Source organism: Homo sapiens, chromosome 12 (assembly GCF_000001405.40).
Source record: "Homo sapiens chromosome 12, GRCh38.p14 Primary Assembly".
Lineage (NCBI taxonomy): Eukaryota > Metazoa > Chordata > Mammalia > Primates > Hominidae > Homo > Homo sapiens.
In genome coordinates this window covers 57184323-57207900 of record NC_000012.12, presented here as the reverse complement: position 1 = coordinate 57207900, position 23578 = coordinate 57184323, and the positions used below count along the sequence as shown (strand labels likewise).

The 23578-nt window shown below is 59.7% G+C and overlaps 1 protein-coding gene and 1 non-coding gene across 2 annotated transcripts in view, besides 1 other annotated feature; both read right to left on the bottom strand.

Moving 5' to 3' along the window:
- Nucleotides 1-23578, bottom strand: part of LRP1 (LDL receptor related protein 1) — an 84879-nt gene that overhangs the window by 5461 nt on the left and 55840 nt on the right. Inside the window, exons 38-76 of the mRNA NM_002332.3 lie at nt 23449-23575; nt 22911-23062; nt 22696-22820; nt 21993-22370; nt 20445-20634; nt 16892-17096; nt 16389-16581; nt 14931-15056; nt 14597-14725; nt 14216-14335; nt 13889-14002; nt 13398-13547; nt 13202-13324; nt 12800-12916; nt 12502-12630; nt 12121-12243; nt 11898-12038; nt 11624-11814; nt 10736-10919; nt 10517-10602; nt 10237-10356; nt 9558-9745; nt 9231-9436; nt 8501-8689; nt 7876-8024; nt 7366-7459; nt 7086-7202; nt 6748-6867; nt 6282-6404; nt 5996-6121; nt 5364-5480; nt 4614-4720; nt 4380-4512; nt 3372-3491; nt 3152-3274; nt 2652-2792; nt 2416-2550; nt 2224-2343; nt 1160-1428 (exon numbers count right to left, since the gene is read on the bottom strand). Coding sequence (NP_002323.2) covers nt 1160-1428; nt 2224-2343; nt 2416-2550; nt 2652-2792; nt 3152-3274; nt 3372-3491; nt 4380-4512; nt 4614-4720; nt 5364-5480; nt 5996-6121; nt 6282-6404; nt 6748-6867; nt 7086-7202; nt 7366-7459; nt 7876-8024; nt 8501-8689; nt 9231-9436; nt 9558-9745; nt 10237-10356; nt 10517-10602; nt 10736-10919; nt 11624-11814; nt 11898-12038; nt 12121-12243; nt 12502-12630; nt 12800-12916; nt 13202-13324; nt 13398-13547; nt 13889-14002; nt 14216-14335; nt 14597-14725; nt 14931-15056; nt 16389-16581; nt 16892-17096; nt 20445-20634; nt 21993-22370; nt 22696-22820; nt 22911-23062; nt 23449-23575 — 5800 coding nt within the window. The remainder of the gene's footprint in view (nt 1-1159; nt 1429-2223; nt 2344-2415; nt 2551-2651; nt 2793-3151; nt 3275-3371; nt 3492-4379; nt 4513-4613; nt 4721-5363; nt 5481-5995; nt 6122-6281; nt 6405-6747; nt 6868-7085; nt 7203-7365; nt 7460-7875; nt 8025-8500; nt 8690-9230; nt 9437-9557; nt 9746-10236; nt 10357-10516; nt 10603-10735; nt 10920-11623; nt 11815-11897; nt 12039-12120; nt 12244-12501; nt 12631-12799; nt 12917-13201; nt 13325-13397; nt 13548-13888; nt 14003-14215; nt 14336-14596; nt 14726-14930; nt 15057-16388; nt 16582-16891; nt 17097-20444; nt 20635-21992; nt 22371-22695; nt 22821-22910; nt 23063-23448; nt 23576-23578) is intronic.
- Nucleotides 13325-13397, bottom strand: MIR1228 (microRNA 1228). The gene has a single exon (NR_031597.1). It is a non-coding gene; the product is annotated as a microRNA 1228 (primary transcript).
- Nucleotides 14842-15341: an enhancer, noted in NCBI's record as "H3K4me1 hESC enhancer chr12:57586343-57586842 (GRCh37/hg19 assembly coordinates)". NCBI's record gives its function as "activates a minimal SCP1, AML or CMV promoter by ChIP-STARR-seq in naive H9 embryonic stem cells {active_cell/tissue: H9 hESC(naive)}" and the evidence as "EXISTENCE:reporter gene assay evidence [ECO:0000049][PMID:30033119]".

The following is a 23578-nucleotide window of genomic DNA, read 5'->3' as shown; positions in this document are numbered from 1 at the left end:
TGGAGCTTATGCGCCAGACTCGCAGCTCTCACACGTGGCTGGTGAGCCCTCCCTGAAGCCTGTGCAATGGCGATGATCACCTAATTTTATTGATAAACAAAGTGAAACCCAAAGAGGTTAAATGAGGTAGCTAAGACGTACACAGTGGGAAGTGGCAAGGATGGGGGATTGGTGCCGGAGGGCTGTCTGCCTGCCCATCATGCCCTGTGCCCTGGGCTGCCTGCAGCACAGCCAGCTGCTGACCATTCCCACTGCTCTGTCTTCCCGCTGGCCATGCCTCAGAACACAATCCTAAGACTGCCCCCTGCCCCACTCTCAACCTTTGCCCCTCGCACTGCCCTTTTGTTTTCTTTTTCTTTTTTTTTTTTTTGAGACGGAGTCTCGCTCTATCATCCAGGCTGGAGTGCAGTGCTATTCTGCAACCTTGGTGCCACTGCAACCGAGTGGCACTCGGCTCACTGCAACTTCCACCTTCTGGGTTCAAAGGATTCTCCTGCTTCAGCCTCCTGAGTAGCTGGGATTACAGGCGCCCGCCACCACGCCTGGCTAATCTTTGTATTTTTATTTTATTTTATTTTATTTATTTATTTATTTATTTATTTAGAGACCGAGTCTCTATTTATTTATTTATTTATTTATTTATTTATTTATTTATTTAGAGACCGAGTCTCACTCTCTCGCCCAGGCTGGAGTGCAGTGGCGCGATCTCGGCTCACTGCAAGCTCCGCCTCCCGGGTTCATGCCATTCTCCTGCCCCAGCTTCCCAAGTAGCTGGGACTACAGGCGCCCGCCACCATGCCCGGCTAATTTTTTTGTATTTTTTAATAGAGACGGGGTTTCACTGTGTTAGCCAGGTTGGTCTGGATCTCCTGACCTCGTGATCCACCCACCTCTGCCTCCCAAAGTGCTGGGATTACAGGCATGAGCCACCGCGCTCAGCCAAATTTTTGTATTTTTAGTAGAGACAGGGTTTCACCATGTTGCCACGCTGGTCTCAAACTCCTGATCTCAGGTGATCTGCCCGCCTTGGCCTCCCAAAGTGCTGGGATTATAGGCGTGAGCCACTGCGCCTAGCCAGCACTGCCCTTTTCAAATCCTGCTCTGAACCGCCTGCTCTATGGAGCTCTTCCACTCCATCCACGCCAGGTTGGGCACTCACGTTGAGGTGGGTGACACCCCGGTCAATCTGTCGCCGGTGGCGGTTGGAAGTGGTAGGAGGCGCAGCAGGTGGCAGGCTGCGGTAGGAGATGGTGCCCGTGTGCCAGTTGGTCCAATAGACACGGCCAGCCTTGACATGGACATCCATAGCATCAATGCGGACACTCTCGTCACCCTGGAATGCCTGCTCGTAAGCCGAATGGGGGTGGCCGGGGAACAGGCTGCGGATCTCATTGTCATCAGCGATGTACAGGACCTGGTACTCAGAGCCTGGAGAAGCAAGAGGCCAGGGCTGGGGCTGTGGGATGCAGGTGTGCACCCCACCCAGCTCAGCTCCTTTCACATGAACACTGTCCCATCTCCTGGTAGGACCATCTGCTCCGGCCAGAAGCTGCTGCTTACCCTCCCTGCTCAGGGTTGCAGGCTCCAACCTCAGCCTCTGGACCTCCTCCTCTCCTCCCCTGAGCTGATCCACTGTGACCCGCTCCTTTCAGTCAGAAAGCTGTCCCTGCCCCTCCAGACCCAGAGACTTCCACCTCCTCACGGCTGCTGGATGGCATCACCACGCTCTCTGCTACAAACTGCCTGGCACATGCTCGGGGGTGCATAGGCACATGGGGTGTGTGTGCTTGGCATGGAGCACGAGGGTGTGCATGGGAGTGCATGGTGGGGGTGTGTGTGCCAGGGGTGTGTGTGAATGTCTGTGTACAGGCATGTGGAAGGCAAGGTGGGCATCAAAGCATGTGGGGAATGTGCAGGTGAGGCCCCCATGACTGTGAGTGTGCAATGCGTGTCTGAGTGTACTCTCGTCCTGGCAGTGGTGGGTGAGGAGGTGTGTGTGCAATTCAGAGCACTGCCACACCCCAGACTCCTTCAGTCAGCCAGCCCCAGGACCTGCCCCCACTGCTGGGCCAGCACTGTGCTCAGGCAGCTGCAACTATGAGTCTGGGGCTTCTTGTCTGGGCAAGATGTCCGCAGGAAGACATTCCATTCCAAGTCGGCCCCGTTTGATATCCTGGTCGCCCTGCCCCACCCAGCCTTTCTGCCCTCTGGTGGCTCCGGCACCTTCGGCCTTGCAGGTGTTGTGCGTCTTCATGAAGTTCCGAGCGCAGCTGCAGAGGTGGCCGCCCTTGGTGTTGTTGCAGAGCTGGGAGCAGGTGCCGAAGCGCAGGCACTCGTTGATGTCTAAGGGTTACAGGGAGGGTCATGAGAGTCCACAGTTGGGGTGTCCACCCCTGCTCTGCCCCGCTTTCCTACCTTGGCATCCGGGCTGGCCGGGCACGGTGTGGAAGCCCGAGCGGCAGGCACAGTAGGCCGCTTTCTCGGTGCGCACGCAGCGTGCCTCGTCCCCACAGATGCTGGCATTGGTGGCGCAGCTGGTCAGCTTGGGGTCTGTGGGGGACAGAGAGTGGATGCCCTCCCTTGAGCCACCCCAGGCCAGGGCTTGGCTCTCCCCACTCCCCACCAGCGTCCGGTCCGCTGCCGGGCCTCACCGATGCTGCAGTCCTCCTCGTCAGAGCCGTCCCCGCAGTCATCGAACATGTTGCAGCGCAGGGAGGAGGAGAGGCAGCGCTGGTTCCGGCACAGAAACTCCTTCTTGTCTTTGCAGTGGGTGGTGTGGGCTGTGGGGGGCTCTGAGGAGGGCAGAGGCTTTAGGCCCTGGGTATTCTCCCCTGCCTCCTCCTCCCACGGCAACCCCATAGATAACAGTGGCTCCCAATTCCTAAGTGACAAGGCTTGCAGGGGGAGCAGGTCAAACATTTGGGTTCCCAGCCCCACCTCCAAGACCTAAGGCATCAGGCAGCCCCCAGAGCCTTCCCCAGGGGCTTCTCTTTCCTAACGAAAAGCCCCCAGGCTCCTAGCAATGGATCCTCCCCTTCCTGGGCGAGTCCTCCTGGTTAACCCTAACCCCAGTGCAGCTCCCACGAGGACCAGACTCACCCCACTGTGCACTACCCGTCCCCTGCAGGCCTCTCGTCGGCCCCCTGCTCACCACAGTCCTCTTCATCAGTCCCATCCCCACAGTTGTCCGTGCCATCGCATTGGCGCCCGATCCACAGACAGACGCGGTCATTCTTGCAACGGAAGGGCCGGTTGGGAGGGCACACGAACCGGGCTGCAGCAGCCAGGGGGACACAGAGCCAGAATTAGTCTTGGGAGTGGGGGTGGTTGCTGGCCACTGGGAAGCCTGGGAGCCCCGCCCCAAATCTCACCACACTCCTCGGGGTTCTCATCTGAGTTGTCCCCACAGTCATCCTCGCCATCGCACTTCCAGGCCAGCGGCTTGCACAAGGTGTTGTTGCACTGGAACTCGTCCAGGGGGCAGGTCCGCACTGGTGCCAGGGGGAGCCAAGAGATAGAATGAGCCATGAGCCCACCCAGACCCCTGTCTCCACAGGTGGGGGTTCCAGGCTCAGAGGGGTCACCAGGCAAGCAGTGGCACAGCCAAATTGGAACCAGGTCTCTTAAATTTCTACTTGGTGGGGCCAAACTGCCCCCTCTGGTATTTAGGGGAGAAGAGGCCATTTTTCAGGGGTGTCTGGAGGAGTTCAGAGGGCACTCCTTCTCTGGTATGTGGCAGGGCACTGTGCTGTGTAGTTCCACAGCGGGGACGTGGGAACAGCACTGGGCTGTGTAGTTCCACAGCGGGGACGCGGGAACAGCACTGGGCTGGGAATGGAAGACCGGGTTCCCATCCCTGTGCCTGGCCTACCAAGGCAGAGCCAAGACATCTGCCCGCACAGTTGGGATTTCCGCTCCAAGGCCCAGTCTTTTCTCATCCCGGGCTTCACCTGCCCCCTCTGTACTGCAGAGCCCAGGCAGGTCAGCGAGGGACAGGCACTGTCTCACTGCCCCCAGGAAGGGAAAATAGGCAGGGCTTTTCTTCTTGTGGCAGCAGACTGTCTCGGAGGGACTTGTGGGGTGGGGCCTAGATGGGCACAGCCCTCAGGGTTTGCTGGATTTCAGCTCAACTGGTCCCCTAGACTAGGGGGCATTGAGCTGGGCACAACCCGCACAAAAATGTGTATTCAGGGGCCCTGTGTCTTGTTTACTACTACGTCCCTAACACCTATGGCAGTGCCTGGTACATGGTAAATGCTTAATAAATATTTGTTGCATGAAGAATGAATACAGAAGAGAAAGAATGAGTGAATGACTGGGCCATGTGGCGGGGTGGGCAGCAGAGGGAGGACCCAGGGAGACCAAGCCAAGGGGCGCACCGCCAGTGCCGCAGGCCTCCTCGTCGCTGCCGTCCATGCAGTCGGCGTCTGCGTCACAGCGCCAGCGCAGGGGGATGCAGTGGCCGCTCTTGCACTGGAACTGGTCCATGTCACAGCGGGGGGTGCAGTCTTTCTGTGGGCATGGGCACAGGCAGCCGGTCACCTCTCGGCACTCCCCAAGCCCTGCCTGAACTCCTCTGAGGCCATCTGCTTCCTTCTCATCTCCCTGCCCACCTCGTCCGAGCCGTCCGCGCAGTCGTGGTCTCCATCGCATTTCCAGCGCCCCGCGATGCAGCGGCCGTTGGCACAGGAGAACTCACTCTCGGAGCAGGGCCGAGGGGCTGGGAAGGACAGGGGGAGACAGGCCCAGGAGGGTGGGCACAAGGACTCCAGGCCTCAGTAGTGCCACAGTCCCGAGCCCAAGGCCCATCCCCGTGTCTCTGAAGGCCACAGCTGACTGACCCAGAGGCCGAGCCAGTCCTGGCAGAGCCCACTGGCTGCTCCTATGGAACAGCTGGGCACAGGCGGGCTCGCACTTACCCCATGGGACAGACACCAGAGAGGACACAGGTCCCTGGCCTTGCCCTCAGAACAGACTGTGTTTGGGGAGGGGAGCGGGGGCAAGACCACTGAGACAAGCACCAGGGTTTGGGGAGAGGTCAATCAAGGATGATGGGTAGAGGCACAGCACAGGGATGGGGGGCTCTGGGACAGAGGTGGGGGTATGGTGGGAGCACGGGCACATCAGAGACACCTACCTCTGCAACCCCGAGAGGACAGTGTGAAAATGGAGAGAAACATGAGATGAGGTGAAATGGCACAAACTCAAATACACGACATGGAGTGGGATGGGTGAGGAGGGCGGCTCCTGCCCCCACCCTGGGAGGTGGCCACCAGCTCTGGCGCGGCCTGTGGCAGGAGGGCCGCGAGACAAGGGCCAGGCCTGGGAGGGGCTCATGCGGGGCTGGGTGGGTGGGGACGTACTGCAGCTCTCTTCATCGGAGTTGTCACCGCAATCGTTGTCGTAGTCGCACTGCCAGCGGCCGGGCACGCAGCGGTTGTTCTTGCAGCGGAACTGGTATGGCTCACAGGTGCGTTCATCTGGAGGAGGCAAGTGTCAGGGCAGTCAGGGAAAGGGCTGGGGCAGACATTAGGGTCCAAGCAGGCATGGTCAGGCTGGCCTGGCAGGGAGGGTGGGCATCCCAGCTTGGGAAGGGTCAGCCGCGGGGAGCCCAGGCGGTGTTTTGAGACGTGGGGTCTATAAGGAGGTTTGGGGACAGGAGACATGGTTGGGGGTGTGTGTGTGGGCAGCTGCCTTGGGAAGGAGATGAACAGATCCCATAGGGTGGGCAGGGAAAACTCCACACAGGTATGTGTGGATGAGGCGTGGGCAGGGGCAGGGATAGGGAAACTGGGAGACATGGGGCACGGGTGGATGTGGGGAAGTGAGCTCCAGCCAGGCCTCCTTCCCCAGCCCCACAGCAGGCCCAGGAAGCCCAGCAGCAGGGCCACGCTGAGACCGGTAAGCAGGCGGCCCCCAGCCCTCCACCTGCCAGGGGTGCCATGCCTCCCACCCAGGTAGACTGTCTTCCTCCTGGAGTGGGGTCTCGGCTCACCACACTCTTCCTTGGGCTCATCCGAGCCATCCCCACAGTCATCCTCTCCGTCACACTTCCAACGCGCTGGGATGCAGCGGCCCGAATCCTTGCAGCGGAACTCGTCCACACCACAGGTCATCTGGGCTGCAAGCGGGTGGGCATGGGGTGAGGATGAGACTCCTTCCAGGAGTGTGCCGGGAGGGTGGGGAGAGTGAGGGAGCAGCCACTGAGGGGGTCACACGTCGGGGTGGTGTGAGCAGCAGACACTGGGGAGGGAAGCTGGGCTCCAGGCCAGGCAACTCACTGCAGTTGGCGGGCTCATCACTGCCATCCACACAGTCATTGTCCCGGTCGCAGACCCAGACCCGGGGGATGCACCGTTTGGTAATGGAGCACTGGAACTGGTTGGGGGCGCAGGTCACCTCGGCTGTGGGGTGGGCAAGAGAATGAGGGCCCTCCCTTACACCTGCCACTCCAGTTCACCATCACTGTCTTCTCTCTCTTCCAAGCCCTGGCCTTGGTCCTGCCAGCAACTTCTTCGGAGGAAGGAACAGTTTATCCCCAGTTTTGGTGCTTTTTGTTTTCTGGATCTCTATGTCTCTATATCATGCATGATGATTTTTATGAGCAAAGCAAGTTACACCCAATATAATTTGTGTTGCCCATCTACTAAAGTTATTTGAGAGCCTCTCAAAGCTGTGGGGAGATTCTGCCTGCCCTGCTTCCGTGTCATCTCCCACCACCGGCCCACCACCACCTCTGACACTCACGGCAGTCCCTCTCATCCTCCCCATCTCCGCAGTTGTCCTGCCCATTGCAGCGGAAGATGCCGGGAATACAGCGGTTGGTGTTGGTGCATTTGAACTGACTGGGCAAGCAGACGTGGATGTCTGTGGAGGGAGGAGGAGGTGATTCGTGGCGAAGGGAGGACTCAGGGGCAGGGAGAGGGTGCCCATCCCTCAGCAGGGAGGACACAGGCTTGAGCCATAGGAATCCAGCCTGGAGAGCAAGCTGCCGTGGGCTGCAACTTCCCTGCACTTGAAAGCCCCAAATCCTGGGGCAGGGAAGATGCTGGGGAAGGAGGGAGGGTGGGCGGGCAGCGCCTTACCACAGTTGGCCTCGTCACTGTTGTCCTGGCAGTCATTGTCGCCATCGCAGATGAAGGCAGGGTTTGTGCAGATACCTGTGGAGCACTGGAACTGTCCGGGCCGGCACTTGAACTCAGCTGCCAGAGAGGGAGGCTCAGAGTCAGAGCGGCTGGGGTGGACACGGCCAGGTCCACTTGCAGGGCACCACAGCCCCAGCCTCTCCAGTGGCCATTCAAAGCCTCAGGAGTCAGGCCTCCGACACAGCTGGGGGCCCTCCTGTCACCCCCAGCAGGCACTCACGGCAGTCCGGGGGCTCGTCTGAGTGGTCCCCGCAGTCGTCCTCGGTGTCACACTTCCACCAGAAGGGGATGCACTTGTCGTTCTTGCATACAAACTGGAGGGCAGGTGGGGGCAAGAGGGGTTGGTGGGGGTCTGGGGGACTCAGAAGTCTTTCTTTTGAGGGGCTTGGATGTTTCAAAGAAGTTGAGGCAGGGGTCAGGGTGTTATGGGGCAGGTTGGGCTATGGTGAGTTCGGAAAGGCCAGGTATGGGGCTGCGTGGGATAGGGTGGGGAAGGCAGCACTGAAGCATGGCAAGGAGGGTCAAGGTTAGGGTGTGGAGGTGTCTGTGTGAGGTGACGGGGGTAAAAGTATTGCTGTGGGGAGACAAGAGGTAGGCAAGAAATGTGGGGGTGTTAGTGTGGGAAAACCAGATGCATGAGGACATTAGGACAGAGCAGGTGTTGGGGTCCAAGGAGGATTTGGGGGTTGGGGAGCGGGCACTGGTGATGGGGTCTGGGGGACAGCCTCACCTGGCTAGCCGTGCAGTTGGACACACAGGTGCGCCCATCGCTGCCCAGGTAGAAGTTGGTGGGGCAGGCACATTTGTGCCCTCCCCCGGGGGACAGCAGGCACAGGTTGCTGCAGCCACCATTGTTGACCTTGCAGGGGTGATTGGGCACTGCCAGAGAAAACGTCGTGAAATATGGTGACATTTTCTGGCCTACCAAAGGCTGCCTCACTCACTCTATCCTGGACAGAGGCGGGTGGGTCTGAACCCTGCCTCTTTTAGGAGGGAGCTGAAGCTGGAGATAGGAGAGGATTCTAAGGTCCCAGGATCAGGCCAGGCCTGAAGGCCAGCTCCCCACCTCCTCTGTGCTTCCCTCCCAGGGGCCGGCCTGCCTTCCTTCTGGGGGCTGGGCACCCAGACCCCCACTTGACTGGCCTCAGGGACTTGCTGCTGCCAGACTCCAGGGCTGGATCCAGGCCGGGCTGAAGCTCCCGGGAGCCAGACCATCCCCTGTCTAGACCCTCCTGGAGTCTCCCAGTGTCTGGCCAGGAGGGCTTGGTCAATGCTAGAGAAGGGATGAGCAGGAACTCCCAGGGACCCCGGTGCCTGGCTCACCGTTCGCCTGCTCCCACCCCTTGCCTGCTCACCGTCTGGCTGGCGCAGGGCATGGAAGACATGCAGGTCCATGGGCCGGTGCAGCGTGCTGATGAGGAGCGTTTTGTTGGTGCCCGTGGTCTTGTGGGCTCGGTTAATGGACTTTGTTTCCCAGTCGGTCCAGTAGACGTAGTCCTCAAACAGGGTCAGTGCAAAGATGTGCGGGATGTCCTGGCTCAGCACTGCAGGGCCAAGGGGCAGGCACAGTGCCAGTCAGCCGGAGCTCGGACAGGGTGCCGGCCCACTCCACCTCCTCAAGCCCTACCACCACCCTGAGAGGTGGGTGTCAGCCCCAGTTACAGATGGTTCATGGTACAGACCCCCCATGGTCTCACAGCTAACAAGTGTCAGAGCTGGAGTTCAAACCTAGACTGCCTCATGGCAAGTTCCTGCCCTGCCAGTGTATGGCTCCCCTCGGGAAGTGGGGAGCACTGCAGTTCTCAATCGCAGGCCTCCCACCCCCACCCTCCTTGGGGCCAGTCCTCCAGAACTGTGTATACAAGGGAAGGGCCTCTCCTCTTCCTTCCCAAGGGAGCTGGGTGGTGGCCAGGCTGGGGAAGCCCCCGGGGTGCTCTGAACCCCACACCCCAGTGAGTGGTGTCCTCAGGCCATATCCTCCGCTTTTTATGTCCACTCTTGCCCCCAAAACTTGATCCCCTGTCGCTTCAGACCTCCATCCCCACTGAGTCTGCTGTGCCTGGACAGCCTCACTGGCACACTGACCAACGTGGCGATTGGAGCCATCCAGGCTGGCAAATTCAATGTAGTCCTCGCGGGCGTCGGCCCAGTAGATGCGCTCAGTGACATAGTCCAGCGTCAGGCCATTGGGCCATGTGATCTTGGTGTCCACGATGACGCTGCGGCTGGACCCATCCATGCCGATGCGGCCGATCAGTGAATGGTCACCCCAGTCTGTCCAGTACAGGTACCTGGCGATGGGTAGGCAGTGAGCCCTGGGAGATCCCGTAACCCATCGCACCAGTGGCCTGCAGGGAGGCTGGGCTTGGATGCTGCTTTCAGGGGCTCCCCCAACCCTCCTCAGCCACATACCCATTCTGCACATCCACCACCAGAGCCCTGGGCTCACGGAGGCCAGAGCTGACCAGCACCGTCCGATAGGCCCCATTGAGCTTGGACACCTCGATGGTGTCCCGGCCTTTGTCGCACCAGTACAGGTTGCCACCCACCCAGTCCACAGCCAGCCCATCGGGGTTGCTGAGGCCTGTACGGTGTAGGACCTGCAGGAAGGGGCAGGGGAGGGAGAGCTCTGGGTGACCTGGGGGAGGACCTGCAAGCCTCTGTGAGGCTCAGCCTCCCCTCGTGTAAAATGGGGTAGAGCTCCCTCTGACAGCTCTGGTGGGAGAACCATGGAAGTAAAATGCCCAGTCCTGGGCCTGACACTGTGTAGGTGTCAGCAGAGGCTCTAGGAGAGGGGGCTCTAGGTGAATGGGACCACGCCCCAAGCCTCACAGTGCTTGGCCAGACCTCACAGGGAACTTCCTGATGATTAAGGAGACATGAGGCTGGCAGCGAGGGGAAGGGCAAGAGGAATCTCCCAGTCCTTGCTGTCTGGGCCCAGAGGAGAGTGAGCAGCTAGAACAAGCAGTCATATAGTGACTAGTGGAGTGAGAAGGAAGCAATTTGGGTTGGTGGGGCGGGAAGGAGAGACGATCTGAAAACAGTCATCTGAGGCGGGCCAGTGTTGGTCGCCGAGGGCCGCCCGCCTCACCTGCACATTGCTCCCGTTAAGGTGCATCCTTCGGATCATGCTGCCCTGGGTGGTCACATCTGTCCAGTAGATCATCTGCTCTCGGTAGTCAAAATCCAAGGCAACGGCGTTGTTCAGGCCCTGGATTTGGGGAGTGAAGGACAGCAGAAGTCGGTTGTGGCAACAGGGGCCACATTTGCATCTGGGGGAGGGATGGTTGGACCTAAGCGGGGAGACTTGCAAGGGAGGCTGTGCTGGGTCTGGGAGATGGGCAGCGGGGAGGAGGGCCTGGGTTTGGTACCTGCTTAAGTAACGTGTAGTTGGACCCGTCCAGGTTGAGCTTGCGCAGGTAGTACCGGTTGGCGAAGATCAGAAACGGTTCCTCGTCTGCAGACAGAGGATCTTGCCTCAGCTCCTGGCACATTCTAGCGGCCCTGGTCTCCTGCCTGTCTGGAGCTCTGCCACCCGGGCAGTCCCACACAGCCTGGGTCACCTCATGCCCTCCAAGCGCGCATCTCACCAGTCACAGCCTTGCAGCTGTGGGGGTCGCCGCCGCGGGGTGCATAGCCCTCCACACACAGACACTTATAGCTGCCATGAGTGTTGATGCAGCGCTGGCTGCAGGGGAAGGTGGTGCTGCACTCGTCCACATCAGCACACGTCCGGCCGTCGTCCTTCAGCCGGAAGCCAGGGCGACAGCGGCACTGCAGGCACAGGGAGCCTTGGGCTGGGCATGTGGCAGGGTCTGGGCCTCCCACCCTGGAGACCTGGCTCAGAGACTCCAATTCCCTCTACCCGGCCTCACTAGGGGCAGCAGCATATGGGTACTGAGCCCACCCAGCTGGCCCACAGTGCAGGCCTCCTTCTGTGTGCCCCCGAGTGTCATTTGACAGAGCTGCGTGTGCCCTCCCCATGGAAATGCTTTCTTCTCGTGGCTGTTCTCCTGCCTCAGCAGCTGCTCCTTCTCAGGCTCTTCTGCTGGTCCCCTCACTTCCCTGCTCCTGGCTGTTGCTCAGCTCGGGGCTCAGACTTTGGACTCCTCTCTTCTCCACCTACACTGCTCCCTTGGGAATCATATCCAGGCTCACAGATTCAAATAGCATCTCTATGGTGATAACTCCCAGACTTCCCTCTCCAGCCTGGGCCTCTCCTTGAACTCCAGACCTGTGTATCTCTTGCCTACTTGATGCCTCACTCCTCTCTTCCTCTCACACTGCATATCTCATCTGTCAGCAAATCTGCTGGCTCTCTACCTGCCAGATAGAGGCAGACCCCAACCAAGCAGATTTCTGTCTCATTCACTGCTGTATCCCCACTGTCTAGGGGATGAATGAATGAATAAGGCAGTGGAGAAAGGCGTTCCTGGCACGTCTGGGGTGTGGAAGCTCCTCCCCAGGGCTGGGCATACCTTGAAGCCGATCTTGAGGTCCTCACAGTCCTGGCTGCAGCCACTGAGCTTGCGGCTGAGACACTCATTGATGTGGCAGCCACGCTCGTCCGAGCTGTCGCCACAGTCATCCTGGCCGTTGCAGAGCAGTGCCTCAGCCACACAGCGCCCACTGCTGCACAGGAACTGTGACGAGGCATTGCACTTGTGCTCTGCGGAGGGGCGGAGGCGGCAGGTCAGCGGGGTCTCAGGCAGTCTGGGGAGGGGGCAGAGGGGAGCCAGGTCTGGGGCCCACCTTGGCTGGTGCAGTGTGGGTTCTTGGGAGCCTCGTCACTCTGGTCGTGGCAGTCATTCTCGCCATCACACTCCCACTGGCGGGAGCTCAGACAGCGCCCATTGGCACAGCGGAACTCACTGGGGCCGCAGGTCGGGTACTCTGGGGGAGGAATGGACCTGTGAGGCTGATGCCCTGGCCCGGCAGAGGGCAGGGCCTCCTCCCACCACCGCCGAAGGCTCACCACACTCGGGGGACTCATCAGAGCCATCTGCACAGTCACGGTCGTGGTCACACACGAAGTGCTTGGGGATGCACTGGCGGTTCTGGCACATGAACTCACGGTCGTCACAAGTGCTGTTGTACACTGTGGACAGAGGTGGACACAGCCCTTCAGCCCTGCCTGGCCAGCGGCCGACCGTCCCTCACTCTAACCTCCTGTGGTTCTCCTGGTAGAGTGGGCAGGGCACTGGATGAGGAGTCTGGACACCTGGGCTACAGCTATGGCTCCGCCCCCAGTGGACCCCGCTGAGGCATTTCCTCTCCTGCACCCCGGCTTCCCCATCTGCAAAGTGAGACTGTGGCCATTTGCTGTCCACCCGCTCCACGTGGCCCCGCCACTCACAGCAACCAGCTGCGATGCTCTCGTCTGCACCATCAGCACAGTCTTTGTCACCGTCACAGAGCCAGCGCTCGGGGACGCACACGTGGGTGCCAGGGCAGGAGAAGGAGGAGGGGCCGCACGTCTTGCCTTCTGTAGGGGGAGAGAGGGCCACTGAGAGACTTAGGAGCGGGTAGATCAGGTCTAGCAGTGGAGGTGATGGTTCGCCGTCGTCTGCAGGGGTGTCTGTGTGTGGGGTGGAGTTGGGTGGGGTCTGTCCCTCCCTGGGGCACCTCCCCCGGCCCAATCCCAGCTTCCTTACCACAGTGAGCAGCCTCGTCTGAGCCATCCCCACAGTCATCGCTGCCGTCACACAGCCACTGCTTGGAGATGCAGCGATGGTTCTGGCACTCAAACTGGGCCTCTGAGCAGAACTTGTCTGGGGCAGTCAGAAGCCACAGTTAGATGGGGAAGGGTGGGGGTCACCCACCTGGGGAGGCTGATGCCATGGGAAGGACAGGAGAGATGCCCACAGCACCCCTCTGTGGGGGGGCTCAGCAGCAGCTAGAGGCAGAGTCTCTGAGTCTGACCTCAAGAGTTGGGGTGTGGGGCAGGGGGTTGAAGGCTCTGGATGCCCTTTTCCAAGGGGGCATTTGCTGGGGGGGACTAAGAAGTGGGGCCCAGCAGGCTCTTGGAGCACTGAGTGGGTGCAGTGGTCACTCACTGCAGTGGGTCTCGTCCTCGCCATGTTCACAGTCATCCTCTTTGTCACACGTCCAGCTCATGGGGATGCAGCGCCCACTAGGGCAGGCGAAGTAATTCAGAGGGCATCTGGGGCGTTTCACACCTGGGGGGCGAGGCAGGTGTGAGGGCCCTGCTCACCGCAGGCCACCACCCACCACACACCTGCCCCCGCCCACCTGGGCAGTCGCGCTCATCACTGTAGTCCCCACAGTCATTGGCGCCATCACACACCCAGCTGGGTGCGTAGCAGAGTGAGGTCCGCTCGCAGGGCTGGAAGAGCACGCCCTTCACGCCCAGGCGGAAGTAGCTGCTGCAGTCGGTGGCACCTGGTGGGGGCAGGGGTGAGGGTGATACCTGGTTCCCCCTGGATCACCCCCGACTGGGGCAGCTGCCAGCCCTATGGAGCCTTCATGTGTTTCCAAAAGTTGAACGGTGCCCTTCTGGTGGGGCACTGTCTGCACCATCTGCTCACTGCCCCCTCTCGGAACCCCACGAGAGCCCAGGAGCAGGAGCGGGATGGGGACAGGGCCTCAGGGAGATGGAGGCTGTCAGCGGGGATGAGGGAAGGCAGAGAGGAATGTGGGCAGGTGCAGGAGGGCCTGAAGGCGGGAGATGCAGTGAGCGATGGGGAGGAGCCCAGGAGGTGCCAGCAAAGGGCGTCACTCACTGCAGTTCATCTCATCTGAGGCGTCCTCACAATCCACAAACTGGTTGCAGCGGCTGGAGTTCCCGATGCAGGTCCCGTCCCGGCAGCGGAACTCGCCCACACCACAGGCTGTCTCTAGAACAGTGCCCGCCCCGTATCGTCAGGCCAGAGTTTTCTCTGTGGGGGCCAGAAGGACGCAGGACAGAGCTCCTGGCCCACAGCACCTGCCCTGGCCTGTCACAGAGTGCCTTGAACCAGACACCACGGGGCCCAGGGACAAAGCTTGGCCAGGGAGGGGTGGGGCAGGAACTGAGGTACAGATGGGTTATGCCAGTGCGCCTCACTCACTGTTGCAAGGGATCTCGTCAGAGCCATCCCCACAGTCGTCGGCCCCGTTGCACCACAGCATGTTGGACACACAGCGCCCATTGCTGCACTGCCGGAAAGTCTTCTTGCAGCGGCGGGAGTCTGCAAATGGAGGAGTAGGCTGCGTGTCAGCCACAGGCACAGGGAAAGGGCTGCCTCCCTGAGACGTCATGCACGTGTCCAGCTGGCCACCCCCAAACCCAAAGGCCCAGTCCAGGCTAACAGTGGTTCTGCCCTTCATGAGCTCCCAAAACTCATGGTCAGGAAGCTGGGTCCTGATCCTGCTCCATCCTGCAGGGGCCTGGGGGAGGAGGACCTGGGCTCTGGGCCTGGAAGAGGCAGGGGCTGCAGGGGGCTCCTTACTGCAGTAGGATGGCTTCTCATCGGACTTGTCCTTGCAGTGGGGGACGCCGTCGCAGGTCAGGCTGAAGTTGATGCACTCGCCATTGGCACACTCAAACTCATCTTGTGCTCGGCAAGAGGAATTCACCGCTGGGGAGGGAGGTGGAGGGAGCTTTCTGAGCCAGCGCTGTGGGCCCCAGTGCCCACGCCTCCTCCCCCGGGGAGCTGAGGTCATCATCAGCGTCTTCTTGGCAAAAGGCTTTGGGGGGCTGGGCTGGAGCATGTAGGGGAGATGGTCACCATCCCTGGTGTGTGCTTGGGTTCCCCGCCAGCCCCTCCCCCCCGCCTCTCTCACCTCGGCAGGTGAGGTCATCCTGGAGGATTCGGCCCCCTCGGCATGAGCAGTTGACATGGCCCTGGTGAGTGAGCAGACACAGGTCCTGGCAGCCACCGTTGTTGATTCGGCATGGAGAGAGTTCACCTGAGCAGGGACAGGGTGGGCGCAGGGCTGGAGAGTGTTCTCTGCTGTGCATGCACCCAGAGTGCACCCACCCATTCACTGACTTCATGGAGCTCCCAAGCCTCTGCTCAGTCACGGCAGGCACAGCGGCTTGCAGCCAGTGGGGAGGGCATGGGGATGGCTGCTGTGGGAGGGCCAGGTGCATGGGGTTTTCGGCAGGTGTGCCGTTGAGGATGTGTGTGCTTTTAGGCAGGGCACCGTGGGCTTTGAGGAGTGTTTCTGAGAGATTCGAGTCTGAGGGCCCTGAGATCACGGGTGCAGTAGTGAGCCCCAGGGCGCATGGGAGACACCTGGGAAAGCTGCAGGTCTGTGGTGGGGGGCGCTGGGGCATGTACTCGTGCCCACTGAGGGCACGTGCACCCAGGCTCTCGGCTGTCTGTGTGGCTCCAAGTGAGGAGAGTGACCAGGGTGAGGGTAGGGGCACCGAGGGCATGGATGAGCCCTGAGGGGCGGGTGTGACATGAATGTGTGTGTGCAACGTGGAGGAGATGCCAGGCGTGTGCAGAGTCCATCTGTGTGCGTAGATGCCTTGGTGGGAAGGGGTACAGGAGCACTGGGGGTTTTGCGGTTCCAAAGGTGTGTACAGCTGTGTGTGTCTGTGTAATGGAGGCCCAGGGAGAGCAGGACCAGGCAAGTGTGTGTGGGGTGTGGTGTGTGGGGTGTGGGGTGTTTATAGTATGTCTGTGAGATGTGTGTGTGTGTGTGTGGCATGTTTGTGGTACGTGTGGTGTGTGGTGTGTGTGTGTGCTGTGTGGTGTGTGTGTGATGTGTGTTGTGGGTGGTAGGTGTGTGGCATGTGTATGTGTGTCCTATGTGTGGTGTGTATGTGTCATGTGTGGTGTGTGTATGTGGTGTGTGTATGTGGTGTGTGTGTGGTATGTGTAGTGTGTGTGGTGGTGTGTGTATGTGGTATGTGTGGGGTGTGTGTGGTATGTGTGGTGTGTATGTGGTGTGTGGTGTGTGTGTGGTATGTGTGTGGTGTGGTATATGTGGGGTGTGCATGTGATATGTGTGGTGTGTGTATGTGGGGTGTGTATGTGTGTGTATGTGTTGGGGGTGTATGTGTATGTGGTGTGTGGGGGGTGTGTATGGTGTGGTGTGTATGTGTTGAGTGTGTGGGAGGGGTGTGGTGTGTGTATGTGGTGTGGTGTGTGTAGTGTAGTATGTGTGGGATGTGTGTGTGTGGTATGTGTAGGGTGCGTGTGGTATGTGCGATGTGTGTGTGGGGTGTGTGTTTGTATGTCCATGCACGACAGGCAGGAGGGTGAGGCAGCTGGCGGCAGCCCCACTCACAGCTGTTGGTGTCGTTGGCCACGGCGATGATGCCCATGGGCTGCTGGGGGATGTCCACGCGCAGCAGCTTCATGTTGCTGCCCACGTGCTTGTTGGCCCGCTGCACTGCCCGCCGCACCCAGTCAGTCCAGAAAATGTGCTCCCCATACACGGCCAGCCCGAAGGGGTGGACAGGCTCTGACTTTAGGATCACCTGTGGAGACAGCACCATCACCGTCACAGCATCGCTCAGGCCTCTTGCCCAGTCTCCACCGGACCACAGCCTGGCCTGGCCTCTGACAGCTACAGAATGAGGGCCCGCAGAGGCATCCTGCTATCTCCCTCGTCTAGCTGATGAGGAGCAAGCTGGACAGGGTGGGGTTGACCGAGGCTGGGGCCTGGAGGCACTCACCTCCTCCCAGCTGTTCCCACCATGTCTGTGCCTGGACGGTCTTGGTTGACGGCTGACCCTGGCCCTGGCCTCCCCTCAGCCGCCCGCCAGCTCACCCACCCCGCAGACTCACATAGCGGTGGGAGCCGTCATACTCGCACCGCTCGATCTTGTCCAGGGTGGCGTCAGAGAAGTAGAGCTTCTCGGCACGGTGGTCGATGGCCAGGCCATTGGGGGTACGGATGTCCTTCTCGATAAGGGTCAGGACATTGGCTCCCGAGAGCGCCGCCCGCATGATGCTGGGATGCTGCTCATTCCAGTTGGTCCAGAACATGAGGCTGGGGGAAGAGGGTCCAGAGATCAGGAGGCAAAGCCTGAGAATCCACAACAGAGGGCACAGGCCAGGACGCGTAGGCACCTGGAACCTGGAAGCCTGCCAGGGCAAAGCCACCCCAGAGCCATAGAGGCCAGCAGTGCCCCAATGCCCAGGAAGGGCCCCACTATTGCACAGACAGTTCACACACGAGGTGGCTGAGTGTGAGGGGATGAGGGCCAAGTGTGAGATATTCACATTGCAGTATCTGGGCAGTGACCGTCTACTTGCTGAGAAGAGAGCCGGTGCAGCCAAGTGAGACAGGCCCTGGGGTTCCAGCCCTGGCTCCACCACCCACCAGCTAGGTGCCCTTAGGCAACTTACTCAACTGCCCTGTGCCTCAGTTTCCTCCTCTATGAGGTGGGGATGGTAGCACCACCTGCCTCGCAGGATGTGAGAGTGGAAGAAGTTAATCTCCATCTTAAGGACAGATGGCACACACTATGTGAGTATTTCCCAGGAGTTTATTCTTAACTGCTCTCTTCTGTGCAGGGAGGCTGGCTGTCTTCCAGATCATTCAGGAAGCCCTTGTGGAGCTGAGTGTGGCATGTGTCCCAGGTCCTGGGGTATGTGGGTCCTATCCTCAAGCAGCTCTCAAGAGTCCCCTTCTCCGTACTTTGAGGCCTTTGCATGTTTGGGGTTGGAGCCACCGTTCTGCCTCGTAACGGCTCCAACTTTGAATGAGCCTGTCGCCCCTCTGAGCCCTGGTTTCCTCTCAGTAAAGGAGGCAATGGGAACAGCCAGCCCCCAATTATGCCGTGCTCCTTGTGGGGTGGTGCTGAGGCTGGAGGGGGGCTGTGGAAGGCCTCAGGGCTGGTCATGCACTACCCTGGGTGTGACAGAGTGGTCCTTGGACCACCGGCATTGGATGGTGAGCCCTGGGTCCTCGGTCCCAGAGCTTGTCACTCAGCTAGGCCCAGGGCGGGGCAGGGGACTCCACATTCTCTTGCTCCTAGGCGATCCTTAGGCACAGTGGAGTCTGAGACCACCAAGCCACACAAAAGCCAGCTCCGTTCTCCAGTTCCCTAACAGGACCTGCCCCCGCCCCCACCCCAGTGCCTCTGGCCTCCTCCTACCTCTGCCCCTCACCATTCTGGCCACAGATCTGTCCTCTGGCCTGTGAACTTGTCTCCTCAGACCTCTCCAGGTCACACCCTTCTTGCCCACCCCCAGCGTCTCCAGCACCATTGAACTATCCCGCCTTCTGCTGGGCTCACGTAGGAAAATGGTGCTGCTCTGCCCCTCTGGAGACACTGGCTGCCCTGAGCCTCGGCGAGCTCGTGAGAAGCTCTGATCTTAAGGGCCTCATCCTGGAGGAGAGCAGGGGTTTGCGGTGGCTCTGGAATCGGGATGTAAGTTGGGAGGGAGGCGGCGTGTCCTTCTAGCCTCCATAAGGGAAAATGGGTATCCTGGGGCAGTGGCCAGTCATCTTCCTGGCTTGTCAGGATTGGACTTGGCCTGTCAGTCCCCACCAGGAACTCCTACACCTCAGGTGAAACTACTCACACCTGCAGTGAGAAGTGGTTTTCCTCCTGGCGTCAACAAACTCCTCCATGTGACACAACTGTGGTCTGGGTGAACCTGCTTCCCAGGAATGGGGCAGGAGGGAGAGAGAGGCTTTCCTGGGGTAGGTGCTCAGTGTCCAGGAACATGGCGGACCTTCTAACTATCCTACTGTGAGCTCTACAGGGCCATCAGTGCTCCAGTGCTGACGCGGGGAGGGCTCAGGAGGAGGCTGGGTTGTTGGAGTCTCCACTTGCCCCTGCCCTCTCCACTGGGGTCCACACTGGCTCCTTCTGATTCCCCGAAAGTGCCTGCTCCTTGTGGCCAGGGGGAGGGCCCCTCCTGCCAGCTCAGCTCTTTCTCCTGGGCACTGGGACCATGCTCCCACCCAGCCACTCCTGCCATCCTCAGACGCTGGCTAACATGCCGCCTCTTCAAGGACACGTTCCCTGACTTCCAGGTGGGGCCAGTCCTCAGCACACAGCCACGAAGCTCTTCATGACGCCCCTCGCGCTCCCCACTGGGTCCTCTGCACCTTCTTTGCCCTCAAAAGCCACTCGCTGAATGCGTGATGGAATCCCCTGGCCTCATAAGAAAGGAGCTTGGTGGGCAGCCAGGGGGTCACGTCCTCTGGGACGAGGGCCAGGCAGCCTTGCTGGACCCTCCAGGGAAGCTCCAGACTCATGAGGGACAGGCTCTGAGGCCATCCCCAGACAGGTGAGGCAGCCGAGGGTCATGGAAGGGGGGACTGGACCTTCATCATCAGCTGCAGATGTGCCAGATGACAGAGGCAGGAGGAAACAGAGGGTCCTTGAGCCAGGTTGGAGGTGACTGACATTGGGGGACTGGTGGGGGGAATCTGGGTTCGGGACACTCACGTATCTATACAGCTGCTTTGGGTTGTGTTTACTAGTTTCCTAGTAAAGCTTTTGAAAAACATTCCAAGCACTGCTGAATTGGGAAAAAAATGTTGCTAACATGTGGGCCTGGATCCCTAAGGCGAGGGGGTGGCTCACTAGAGGCCCAAACAGCCGGGATGAGGGCTGCCCCTGCGGGAGAACAGAGCAGGCTGACTGCGGGTGAACCCTCCAGGGGGAGCACCCACCCCCGGGTGCTTTCTGCCACCTGTCCTGGCTTGTGCTCCTAACTCCTCCGCACCCTGACCTCACTTCCTGGCTGGGCTCAGGCCTGCCTATGCTCTATGGCATGCAGAGGTCCCCCTCTGTCCTCCCTGCCTTGAATTTGCCTTTCTTCAGGCTTTTGCTCAAAGCACTTCCCCTGTCCGAGCTGGCCTTCCTTGTCTTTTCCAGTTCCAGGCTCTGGGCCAATCTACTGCCTTCATGACACCTGTGGTCACCCGTATACAGCCCTGTGCCAGTTACCATTACTTCCCACAAGTATGACTTCTCAACCCAGCTAGGTGGCTTGGTAGGCCCAGCCTTAGGCTTCTGTACGAAGGGTTCGACAAACATTCTTTGCCTGAAGCTTTGGATCCCAGAGCTAGAGGCCCTACCCTGTGCCTCCAACATGGTGCTCTGATGAATGAATCAATCACAAAGGCAGAGCGTCCCCCACAGTCCTGATGCTCCCTTTGGTGCAGGCAGCTGGAATCTTAGCCAGCTTGTATCACAGAAGAGGAACCTGAAGCTTAGGAAGCTTTTGCACCTCTCCCCAGATCACACAGCAGGGAAGGGTGGAGCTCAAGTGAGGGCCTGCCTCTCCTGCACCCCCGCTTGGATCTGCCTGGGGAGTTTCTGCCACCCCGAGTCCCACCTCTCCCTGCTACCCCCATCCCCAGGCAGCAGCTCACTTCTGGCACTCGTCCAAAACGAAGGCCCGTGGGTGGTCATCTCCAGACATAGTGATGACGGTCTCACGCTCGAAGGCCCCTGGGCGGGTCTGGTCCACTGTGTGGCGCGTGATGGTGGATGTCGTGTAGCTTGTCCAATAGAGAGTGTCCCAGCCACGGTGATAGGCCAGGCCTTCCACGGAGCCCACGTCTGTGAAGAGACAGGAGCAGCGATTTGTCAGGAGGGCCCAGAGGGCAGCCTGCACAGGAGCCGTGGGGGACAGCCTGGGGCAGGTGCTCTCCTGGCTGGAAGGCGAAGTGTGGGGTATGGGAGTGCAAGAGGTGCAGCAGAGAGGGCTCGGGGGCACCAGGGTCTGACTCAGTGCCCCCAACCTCTGCTGTCCTCACTCAAATGACCTGTGGTCACCTCTCAACCCTCTCCCACTGAGGGCAATCGGGCTTTCTGGTGTGTTTGCACTTTCCTGGAGCTGCAGTTCTGCTGAGCTGAGTGCAATGTAGATTTCTGTAAATCAAATCCTGCTTGGGCTGTACTGGGGAGCCCCCTACTTAAAAAGACCCTGAGCTGGATTGATTATTTTATAAAGCAGACATCTTAAACTCAGGTTAAAGAACCAAGGCACAGTGAGAGACACAGCCGAACAGCAGTGTAAGAGAAAAGACTAGAGTGTTAGTGGCTATAAGCGATGGTGGCTGCCAAAGGGCCATGCTGTGGTATGGTCTGCAGACAGCCGGAGGTGAGGGGACATCCCTTCCAGGGGTCTGGGGATTGATGTGCCAGTCTCTCCTGATCAAGCTACGAGCATGGAGTACCGAGTTTAGCTTCGGATGCTACATTTTTAGACAGACATGCAGGCTGGACTATGTGCAGCAGAAAATGTCCCAGAAAAGGCTGAAAGGACAGGTCTGTATACGTAGCACCTAGTTCGGTGCCTGGCAGGTCTTTATGGACCAGCTGAATGAATATATGAGCAAATGAATGAGTCAAGGGACCCGGTGGTAACCAGGCTGAAGAAGAGAAAATGTAGCAGGATGCAGTTTTCAAAGAGCTGAAAGGCTGTCCTGTGATGACAGCCCTGACACTGTAACTGCTCTTTCCAGAGCACACACTCCGTCCCCAGCATCACTGAGCTAAGCCTTCCTGCGCAGCAGCTCGAGGAATCCTGTCTCAGATGAGACACTCATCCACGCAGATGAGAAGGCTCAGGCTTGGCAAGAGCAGGAAACTGACCCAAGTTATTGAAAGCCCAAGTGACTGGAGCTCAGCCCCATGTCTGCAGCCTGGGTTTGTGAGCGTTGGGCTCCACAGAGACCTCTCGCTTGTTCTGTGCAGCTCTGAAGGCAGAACTAGGACCAGTGGCGGGAGGAAGTCGGGGGCTGACGCTGACTCCAAATCAGGAGTCATGTAACTGCGGGGGTGCAGTTGGATTCAGCTGAGTTGTAGCTGCTGGGATTCAGACCTAGGGTAGAGTGCCTGGCTGGGGTCTAAGAGTCTGTGCTGCTCCCCGCCCCATGTCCCACTTCCTGGGAAGACTTAGGGTCTGGGCTCACTTTCCACAATGGTGATCCTCCTGGAGCCATCGTCGTTGATCTGTTGGATGTTCCCAAAGTGGATGTCGCTGAAGAAGATGCGATTGGGGGTGCCCGGAGAGGTGCCTGCCCGGTAGTCAAAGGCCAGGGCGATGACGTTCTTCATGTGCTCAGGGTCCTCGAAGGGCTGCACGGGCGCATTGAGGTTGCGCTCATCCGACAGGTGGATACTCTTGAGAATGGTGCGCTCTGAGTAGAGCAGGTAGCCGGCATACTCGCGGCACGATGCTCCGTCTTCAGCCAGCATCCCGTGGGCACAGGCGCAGGCCCGCTGCCCACGGCCCCGGTACAGGCACAGCTGCTGGCACCCGCCATTGGCCACCGCGCACACGTTGGTGCCTGGGGGAGGGGAGGGTACAGAGGGCAGGGCCTGCCTTGGGAAAGGCTCACTGGTGCCTTTGTCATCCAGGCTTTGGCGAAAGCTCTGCCCTCTGCCTCGGTATTCCCAGCTTGAATGACCCTCCAGGGCCCAGAGTCCAATGCCAAGATCTGTCCCAGAGCACCTCAGCCTTTCCTCCCCATCCCTGGGTCTCTCGGGCCATCGGAAGTTGCCCCATGGGTCTAACTTGTCTCCCAGCCCTCTCACACTGGGTTCCCTGGGGAGCACTCTCCCAGGCCAGAGTCCCCCTCACCTCTCCACCCCAGCCCAGAGCCCCAGCCTCACCTTTCTGCCGGTCCCGGTTGAAGACTTTGATGTCTTTAAGCTGGACGCCGATGCCGGTTCGCAGGGGCACGGAGTCTGTGGCATTGTCTTTGCTCCCGCGCTTGATAGAGCCGTTGGCATGAGTCCTGAGGGAAGGACAGGGCACAAGCAGGGCATCAGTGGAGGCAGGAGGGAAGGAAGAGATCAGCTGAGGAGGCCAGGACAGAAGCCCTCACCTGTCACTCCAGTAGATGAAATCCTCAAACACAGACACTGAAAACATGTCCATGTTGTTGCTGGACAGAACCACCTCGCGGTTCTCACCTGTCTCCAGGTCGATCCGTTCAATCTTGTCTGTCCGTGCATCGCACCAGTACAGCTTCCCATCCTACAGGCCAGAGGCACCCACCTCACCTCCAGGGCTGAGCTCGCTGCCAGCCCCATGTCTGGGGCAGCAGGGAGTGCCTGGGCCAGAGTGAGGCCCTCAGTTCAGCCTCCCCTAACTCACTCCTGCCTCCTGCATACACTCCTGCCCACTGCCCTGCTGATAAGGTGACCTCCAGGCATCTCTCCACTCCCCCACTCCCCACTTCTGAGCGACCCCTGCCCATCATCTCTGTGGTAGCAGGAGTCCTACTCTGGGTGGAGGGCTGGGCTGGGAGACCCTGTGACTTCCCCTGGGCTCCAAGTCCTCCCAGAATGGGCTCATCACAGGGAACAGGAGCCTGGGTCAGGGGTCTACCATCGGATCCAAGGCCAAGTTGGCGTGCGAACCTGGTAGTCCACTGAGATGCCGTTGGGCCAGCTGATGCTGACGTTGACCAGCACCACACGCTCCGTGCCATCTAGCCGAGACCGCTCAATACGCGGATACTGACCCCACTCAGTCCAGAACAAGTACCTG